This window comes from Homo sapiens, chromosome 8, assembly GCF_000001405.40.
Source record: "Homo sapiens chromosome 8, GRCh38.p14 Primary Assembly".
NCBI classification, from domain to species: Eukaryota; Metazoa; Chordata; class Mammalia; order Primates; family Hominidae; genus Homo; species Homo sapiens.
Window position 1 is genome coordinate 55681569 of NC_000008.11, and position 9989 is coordinate 55691557.

At 43.1% G+C, this 9989-nt stretch overlaps 1 long non-coding RNA gene across 1 annotated transcript; it reads left to right on the forward strand.

Moving 5' to 3' along the window:
• Positions 1–900: 900 nt before the first annotated feature.
• LOC105375845 (uncharacterized) lies at positions 901–1453 on the forward strand. The gene is made up of 2 exons (XR_928904.2): positions 901–1141; positions 1243–1453. It is a non-coding gene; the product is annotated as an uncharacterized LOC105375845 (long non-coding RNA).
• The last annotated feature ends 8536 nt before the right edge of the window (positions 1454–9989 follow it).

The window sequence follows — 9989 nt, forward strand, 5'->3', positions numbered from 1 at the left end:
ACATAGTAAAGACCAGCCTGTCTCTACAAAAATTAAATAAACAAACAGTCTCTGCTCTTAAGGCACTAAAACCCTAAAGAAAACTAATATGAGGTAGAACACAAATATGTCATTATGACAAGCTGAAGGAAATGTGATCTCAAAATTTGCTCCTTATTTTTTACTTCTGTGCATTTTATAGCTTTTCTTTCCTTCTCTCTTTTTTCTCTCTTTTTCTTTTTTTCTTTCTGTCTCCTTTTTTAAGAAAAAAGTGTACTTCACAGTATTTTTTTAAAAGAGCTTAGAGTAACAGAAAAGAGAATGAAAGAGAGGAGATTTTATAAATTAAGAAAATTCAAGTAAAGGAGGAAATTTAAAAAACACACCCTCCTACCCAGAATGGACAGCAGTCAGTGGAATGTGAAAACTGCTGAGGATCTCACTTGACCAAAAAGAACAAACAAATAAAATATGCAATTTATAAATCTTGACATGCCTTGAAGTCAATTATATCCCTCAGTCAATAGAGGAAGATAAATTTAAATTGTTATTCTAACTCAACTGTGAAAGAACTGATTGGAAAGGTGAAAATTGATGAGATCTTAAACAGAAAGCTAAGTGAGGGAATTTTGAGTATAGTCCCTTCTGACTTTAGATAAAAATAGGCACAAATCTATATCTGGAGGGTCTAAAAAGAAAGACGACTTGAAAGGAATGAGGGATTCAAAACATAAGTTCTCACAATATCAGCACCAAGTATGGAGAAATGGAAAGGCATATATCAAAACCTATGTAGTTATATAAGTTGCCCACTGGTAATCTCAGTGTTTAATAGAACATTTATGAAACACGGAAGAAAATGGCAAATGTCCAACAAGTTCCAAAATGGAACATGGAACTCTAGATCAGCATTCTGAAGCACCAAACGAGGCAATGATGCCAAGGACAATGTGTTAGGGCTCTCCAGAGAAACAAAACCAACAGGAGAGAGAGAGACAGAAATAGAGAGAGAAAGGGAGAGATTTATTATGAAGAACTAGGTCATGTCATTACAGGGGCTGGGAAGTTCCACAGTCCACCATCGGCCAGCTAGAGACCCAGGATTACCTGTTGTGTAGCTCCAGTCTGAGCTAGAGGCCTGAGAACCGGCAGAATTGATGGTGTAAGTCCCAGTCCAAGTACAGGAGAAGACCGATGTCCTGGCTTGACAGCAGTCAGGCAGAGAGAACAATGCTCCCTTACCCCACCTTTTGTCCTATTCAGGCCTCAGTGGCTTCGAGGAGGCCCACCCACTCTGGGGAGGGACAACTGCCTTGCTCAGTCTACAGATTCACGTGTTAATCTCATCCAGAAAGACCCTCACAGACACACCTAGAATAACGTTTGACCTAACATCTGGGCACCTAATGGCTCAGTCAAGTTGACACTTAAAATTAACCATCACAGACAATAAAAGAGCCTTTTTAAACATCAAGAAGAGGAGAGGGACAGACTCATGCTTGGTGGCACGGTGACGACCAGTATGCGATAGGAAGGGAGACAGATCTGGGGCAGGCAGAGAGGGCTGAAGCTGGAGTCTCCCCTGGGTTCCCAACTACTGACAGGACCATGCGTAAGTTCTTTAACCTTTGGGAGCCCATTTCTGTTTCTGTATAGAAATGTAATCATCCCACATATTTTGCAATAGAAATGATCACTTCTACTTCATAGGATTACTAGAAAGGGGTCATGTCTATAAAGAACTTAGCATATTAAGGTACCCATGAAGTAAGTAGATACTAAAGTTTTCATAACAGAGCATTAAATAACAAACTTAAAACATTTAAAGACAAATGAACATTTAATAACAGAGCAAAACAACTTACTTTTAATTTAGATTTCATCATCTTCATCAGAAAATGGGACTGGGCAGCTGGGCATGGTGGCTCACACCTGTAATCCCAGCACTTTGGGAGGCCAAGATGAGAGGATTGCTTGAGACCAGGAGTTTTAGACCAACCTGGCCAAATAGTGAGACCCCCACCTAAAAATATCTTTAAATAAATTTTAAAAATTTTAAATTAAAAAAGAAAATGGGGCTGGGTGCAGTGGCTCACTCTTGTAATCCCAGTACTTTGGGAGGCTGAGGTGGGAGGATTCCTTGAGGCCAGGAGTTCAAGATCAGTCTGGTCAACATATTGAGACCTGTCTCAAAAAAAATTGAAAATATTTTTTAAAATAAATATATAATTTTTGAAATTAAAAAAGAAAATAGAGCCAGGCACAGTGGCTCATACCTATAATCCCAGCACTTTGGGAGGCAAGGCAGGATGAGTACTTGAGGCCAGGAGTTTAAGATCAGCCTGGGCAACATAGTAAGACCCCATCTCTACCAAAAAAAAATAAAAATTAGCTGGATGTGAAGGCACATGCCTGCAGTCCCAGCTACTTAGAAGGCTGAGGCAGGAGAATTACTTGAGTCCAGGAGTTCAAGGCTGCAGTGAGCCAGGATGATGCCACTGCACTCCAGCCTGGATGACAGAGCAAGACTCTGTCTCTAAAAAAATAAAAACAATAAAGAAAAAAAGTCTTAAAGCCGGGCACGGTGGCTCATGCCTGTAATCCCAACACTTTCAAAGGCCAAGGCAAGCAGATCACTTGAGGCCGGGAGTTCGAGACAAGCCTGGCCAACATGGTGAAACCCTGTCTCTACTAAAAATACAAAAATTACCTGGGCATGGTGGCTGGCGCCTGTAGCACCAGCTACCTGGGAGGCTGAAATAGAAGAATTGCTTGATCCAGGAGGCAGAGGTTGCGGTGAGCCGACATTGTGTGACTACATACTGCCTGGGCAACAGAAAGAGACTCTGTCTCAAAGTAAAATAAATAAAATAAAATAAAATAAAATAAAATAGGCTTAAAACTAGAAAAGTATTATAAACCTTCTTGAAAGGATTTGATGCTTAAGATACATTTGTAAAACATGATAATTTCTTATTGCTTTAGATATTTTCAAGTCTCCAGGTCCCAATGAAATAAACTTATAATTTACTAATATCCCAGGAACACTGGGCAGCAGTCCAGGGATCAAATTTCCAAGGGGAACTTCCATAATTTTCAAAAATGGGCAGAGGTGGATTCCGAGAACATAAGAACAATTAAGAAAGAAAATGCAGATATTGAGTGCCAAGTGAGTCATTTTAACATGTAGAAACCCTGCTTAGAATACTTCTAGCTCTGTTGATCAAGCAGATGGTTTAATCACTTAAGGAAGGAAGAGGTGATCAGCTAAAACCAGCATCAACTCGCTATGGAGTTATATATACCATACTCATCTCACTTCTTTTTTTGGAGGATGTTAAATTAATAGCAGATCTGGGAGAACCATATGCCAAATCAGGAAGCCTGGGAGCAGACAATGTTCGTGGCTCCAGCTGGTGGGCGGGCAGTCGATCCACAGGTACCTGAGGTTGAAGGTGAAGGATAAAGAAGGGACTCAGGATAGGGGACTCCATGTTCAGAACTAGGGTATGTGGAGCCTGGGTCAAAGCTGGAAATGGGGTACACTCACAGAGCTGGGCAAGCAGCCTGACAGGTTTCTGAGATGGAGATTAGCATGCAGAGGGTTACGGGCTCTTGATCATGAGGGAGTGAAGGAGGAGATGTTGAACTCGGAGGAAATGTTGAACTAGAGGCCTCTACCTCCTGATCCCATGGGGAGGTCTGGAGTGGGGTGGACTTTTAAGGATGTCTTAAATTAAGGAAAGAGCCAGGCCTTTGCTCTGCTCCCCATGGACCAGTCGCTGGGATATGAACTGCATGCCTAGGGAGTGCTGTGCCCTTGGGTAATGCTGCAGCCCCTCAGCAGAGAGCACGGTCAGGGAATCTGCCCAGCTCTGAGCCTGCAGCAGCTGGGGGCAGGAGCTCCTAGCCCTTTAGGGGATTGGTGTGCCTGATGCTGGATCTCCACAACACCCAGGAAGGTCATCTACAGCCCTCCTAGGCCACCAGCACAACTAGAATTAGAAGCAGCATTGGTAGTGGTGGAAAAGTCACAGCCTTTTGCAGAGATCAGCTCTTTGCTAGCAAGTTGTTCAACCTCTTTGAGCTTCAAGTTCCTTCTGTGTTTACAGAACACTTAGGGTGAGGATTAAAAGGCATAACACATAAAGCACCTAGCAATGAGCCTAGCATACGTCAGGTGCTTAACGAATGTTAGTTTTCTTCCCCCAGACTCTAAAAAGGGTAGAACCTGCAAGTGGAAATCAGGTGACTTGGGAAATAGAGAGAAGCAGGATACAGGGGCTTGAAATCAGGTTGGGGCAAATAACATTCAAAGGAAATCTCTACTGGCAGGATGAAGGGGCCATACCAACCCTTTTACTAACAGCTTGGAGTGAGCTCAAGAGGACATGTGCATATGAATCTTTAGATGAACCAAAACTTTAAGAAACATCACAATCAAAAGCAAGATGTTAAAATAAATACATAAATTATATTCAAGAAAAGAAATTTCAGCATGTTGGACGGTAAGAGTCAGAGAGATCACTACAGCTTGAAATGATAGGGTGAAAAAGAATATAAAACATAACCCAGAAAAAGTGAAGTGCTTAATATAGGTCCAACAGTTAAGCTGCACATTCTCGCACACATATACACACACACGGAAGTGAATAATAATAGCTGAAATGTACTGAGTACCAAGTGCTTCTCATGAGCCTGGCCCTGCACTTTGTGCTTTGTGCATCATGCAGCTAGATAGCATAAAGCACTAAATCCTTTACATCAGGGGTCCTCAGTCCCCATTCGCTGGCCTGATAGGAACTGGCTGCACAGCAGGAGATAAGCAGCGGGCTCCACCACCTGAGCTCCGCCTCCTGTCAGATCAGCAGCGGCATTAGATTCTCGTAGCAGCTCGAACCCTATCGTGAACTGCGCATGCAAGGGATCGGGGTTGTGTCTCCTTATAAGAATCTAATGCCTGATGATCTGAATGATCTGAGGTGGAACAGTTTTATCCCAAGACCATCCCCCACTCCTCCCACCACAAACAGCCCCCCAGTCTGTGGAAAAACTGTCTTCCACAAAACTGGTCCCTGGTGCCAGAAAGGTTGGGGACTGTTGCTTTACATAGATGACTTCATTAATCCTCTCAGCAAATCTGAAACAGGAACTTTTATTACCCTTGCTTTTCATAGAAGTGACCTGTGGCTTGGAGGGTAAGTCATTCTGCCCAAGGTCACACAACTTGGAGGAGGTGAAGCTAGGAAACTATCTGGGAACCTTGAAATGCAAAGCTCACACACACAATCACCACACCATGCTACCACCATCATGTCAGAGGGAAAGAAAACTAATACATAACAACTAAATGTTATACCATTTGATAGCCACATTAGTCAGGACATGTGTAATTAAAAAAAAAAAAACAACCTTCAATCCAAAAAGGTTTAAACAAGACAGAAATGCATTGGCTCACATAGCTAGAAGTCAGGGTATAAAAAGGCCTAGAGGGTTGACTTATCTCTAGGCCTTATCTAGACTCAGTAGGTTCAAATCCCAATGGCCTTATCTCTATTTCCCTGAAATCTCTCTGCCTGGCCTCCTGTGGTAATGCAAGCTTCATCCCACGTTGGGGATGACATGTCCACAGCGGATCCAGGGCTCACATCCACGTGCAATAAATCCAGAGAAAGAAAGGGTCATTTCCAGGAGTTCACCCAGAAAAGGGAGGAAAAGCTTTCCTAGAAGGGTCCAGCCCAGCTCTACTTCCATCTCCTGGGCCAAAATTATTTGTTAATGAGTCAAAGGCACAAGATCGCCTTTTGATCAATCAGGCCACCCTTGGAATTGCAAGTGGAGCCAGCATTTCTTGAGACACACAGGGTTCCTGGAGAAGGGGCAAATACCTGCAAAAAAGTAGGGTTTGTTAGGAAGAAGAAAAGAAAAGAATGACTCTGGGTTAGACAATCAACAATATCTAGTACAATTCTCAGAGAAATGAAATCTCATTCCCCTTTTGCAGGTGACCTACGGGTTTAAAACGGTTCTTGTGAAAAGATCTGAGATTCTTTTTTTTTTTTTTTTGAGATGGCATCTCGCTCTATCCCCCAGACTAGAGTGCACTGGCATGATCTCAGCTCACTGCAACCTTCACCTCTCAGGTTCCAGCGATTCTCCCGCCTCAGCCTCCTGAGTAGCTGGGATTACAGGTGCCCAAAACCACACCTGGCTAATTTTTTGTATTTTTAGTAAAGATGGGGTTTCACCATGTTGGCCAGGCTGGCCTCGAACTCCTGACCTCGTATGATCTGCCCACTTCAGCCTCCCAAAATGCAGGGATTACAGGAGTGAGCCACTGTGCCTGGCCTAAGAGCTGGAATTTTTATCTTGACTATAGACTTCATATGAGCCAATTGTGTCAGGTGATTAGTGCAATCTTGAGTTCATTAAAAAGAACAGCCAGGTCAAGAAAAGACATAGAGTTATTGTATTCAGTACCAGTCCAGTCATATTGGGACTATGGTATCAACTCCAGATACTGCATTTTAAGAGGACTGTCAAACACAGATCATAGAAGAGGTGGAAGTATAACATAGTCATAAGTGGCCAGACACGGTGGCTCACGCCTGTAATCCCGGCACTTTTGGAAGCTGAGGTGGGTGAATCACCTGAGGTCAGGAGTTCGAGACCAGCCTGAACAACATGGAGAAACCCCATCTCTACTAAAAATACAAAGTTAGCCGGGCACGGTGGCACACGCCTGTAGTCCCAGCTACTCAGGAGGCCGAGGTAGGAGAATCGCTTGAACCTGGAAGTCAGAGGTTGTGGTGAGCCGAGATCACGCCATTGCACTCCAGCCTGAACAACAAGAGCCAAATTCCATCTCAAAACAAACAAACAAAAAACACATAGTCATAAGTGTGGGGACTCAGTAGGTTCAAGTCCCAAGTCTGCTCTTCTGCCCTTGTATGGACTTTAGAAAATTGTGTAAACTCTAAACTTCAGTTTCCTCATCTGTAAAATGGAGATATAGCTAATACCTACCTTGCAGAGTTGCTAGGAAAGTTAAGTAAGACAGAAACCTATGAATTCCCACAAGTACAATGTTTACTTGGTGATCATAGTCTCCAGACTCTAGCTTCTGCTGAATTCATTCAATTCAACAATTTCTTTGAATGCACATGCAGCCTCAGCTACTCAGGGAGCTGAGGAACAAGGATCTCTTTAGCTCCAGAGTTTGAGGCCATCATCTTTAAAAAAAAAAAAAAAAAAAAAAAAAAGAATTGCCTGGAAGTCCTATGTGTGCTGTCTGGGCTGTGCCTCTAGCCCAGCTAGACATAAATCCTGGCCCCTTTCCTTGATTTCCTCAGAAAACAAACAAATCCCATATCCCTAACCCCCTAAAATCCCACTCACATCAGTGGTGAGTGGTCTTACTAAAATATGGGGGAGATGAACAGGGTTTACTTCTAGGAAACTTTAACACCTTAACATTAAATATTGGGCATTCTTGTTTTCCTTTTTCATAAAATAAATGCATTATCATAAATTCAAGCAGTATAGAGTGTGCAAAGAAAAAAGTAAAAGTTTCTCTCCCACTATTCCCATTCCCCAGACTAACCACTGATAATATTTTTCGTGTATTTCTCCAGAAATGTTGTATACACAACAAACACGAACATGTATTATTAGATATGTCTTTAAAGAAGGGGAGAAAAACACTTCATTATTTTGTAACATGAACTTTAGGCTTCAGCCTTGAGAACTGATCCCTGTATTCCTCAAGGAGAAAAAGCACGCACAGCAGTCAATCAAATACCTACACCGATTTCTTCCAGCCTTGGGCAGAACATTTCAGTCCTTTCAGCTCTATTACCAAATTCCGTTTCAAGTCAGGCCTCCCTTTGCAAATCTAGGCTCTCAACCTGGCAACGGCTGCAAGTAAAGGTCCTGGGACAAACTTCTCCAAGAGCCCGCCCTTCCCGGACTCCATCCGGCTGCGCGGGGCAGAGTTCTGCATTGCAGAGGCCGGGCTGTGGGGACCCAGGCCAGCACCACTCAGGGAGCAGCTTGGTGGGCCCCGTTCCCGGGTGTGAGGGCAGGAAAACTGGCTGAGGAGTCGGCACTAGAAGCCTTGACAGGGGGCGGGCTCCAGGTCCAGCCTTGTCGGAGTTGACCGAGGGCTTAGGCCAGAGATGAGGAAGAAGGACCCAGAAGGTCCCGGGCGGGCACAGAGGCAGCGCCCAGGGAGGTACGCGCTGGCCGATGAAGCCAGTGGGTTGTCAGGCGCTGTTATGGTTTGGCTGTGTCGCCTCCCAACTCTCATCTTGAATTGTAACTCCCATAATTCCTTCGCGCTGTAGGAGGGAACCGATTGGAGATAATTGAATCATGGGGTCGGTTTCCCCCATACTGTTCTAGTGGTAGTGAGTAAGTCTTAGGAGATCTGATGGTTTTATAAGGGGAAACACCTTTCGCTTGGTTCTGTTTTCTCTCTTGTCTGCTGCCATGTGAAACCTGCCTTTAGCCTTCTGCCATGATTGTGAGGCCTCCCCAGCCACGTGGAACTGAGTTCATTAAACTTCTTTTCCTTTGTAAAGTAACCAGTCTTGGGTATGTCTTTATCAGCATCATGAAAACTGACTAATACAGGTGCCAAATTAAATATTAACAGGGAAGCCAGAGATGTGACAGAAGGCAGGAGAAAAGGAGGCTGTATTCTGTAGAAGCTGCGCTGGAAACGTCTTCCAGAACAGGACCCATTGTCACCCAGTTTGCCTATGTCCCTTACTCTCTCTACCTCGATTTTGTAGGACACCCCCCATTCTCCCATTCACATTTCAAGAAACAAATTAAGAAAAAAACACATCTTCTCATCTAAGAAGGAAGGGATGTGGGTTGGCAAATGCGAAGACCCTGCTCAGATCCCAACACTCAGTGTTTATAGTTTTCGCAGTTTGAACTTCATGTGTATGGAAGTACAAATTTTAAAAAGACTCTTGGTTATTATATTGAATCTGGGGTTGCTCCTTCAGAGCGCAGGAATCTAGAAAGTATTCTCTCTATCTCATTGCTACCACGAAATTCCTCCCGTTTCAGAACTGAATTTTTTTTTTTTTTTTTTTTTTTTTTTGTCACCGTGGGTTCGTCTGGTCCCTGCTGTCTTTTTTCCTCTCCACCCTTATGTCATTCACCTCGACCCTTTCCTTGACTTTTTATCCACTGGTACCTTTTCATTACCAAGTTCACTTTCAGTCCTCTGGAAGAAATCAAAACATTTGTGTGATGTCGAATTAAGTTTGGCCTAAAGGCTTCTCCGTACATAGCAAATTACAACTTAACTTAGTGTGGAAACTGACTGAATCCAAGCCTGGAGTGTGCGTCTCAGCCAGTCCCAGGCAGCCAGCTCTTCCAACTGTGTTCCAGTAAGACAGACACCAAGCTGACCGATCATCATGAATCTGGCTGTCTCCCTACCTCACTTCAGTTTTGCGCATATCACGTTTTTCCCTCTGGCTATTAATATAATCCCCACATATGGTGGGGTGGGGCGTTCTGAACCATTTTTGGTCCAAACTGTTTCCCAATTTCTGAATGGCAATTAAAGCCGATTAAGATCTGCAAAACTAGGTTTATTGTAATTTTGTCTTTCAACAGTTTTTGCCATCTAAAATGTCTATTCTAGTCACACCATTTCATAAAAGTAGAAGGGCAGGAAAAAAACAGTATGGCAGATCCTTAAAAAAATTAAAATTTCCATATGATCCAGCGATCCGACTTCTGGGCATATACCTAAAGAATTGAAAGCAGGGTCTTGAAGAGATATTCACACACCCATCTTCATAGCAAGATTATTCACATTAGCCAAAAGGTAAAAGCAATCTAGGTATCCATCAACAGATGAATGAATAAAGAAAATGTCGTATATCAGTACAATGGAATATTATTCAGCCTTAAAAAAGAATGAAATTCTTACACATGCTACAACATGGATGAGCCTGGAGGACATTAAGTGAAATAAGCCAGTC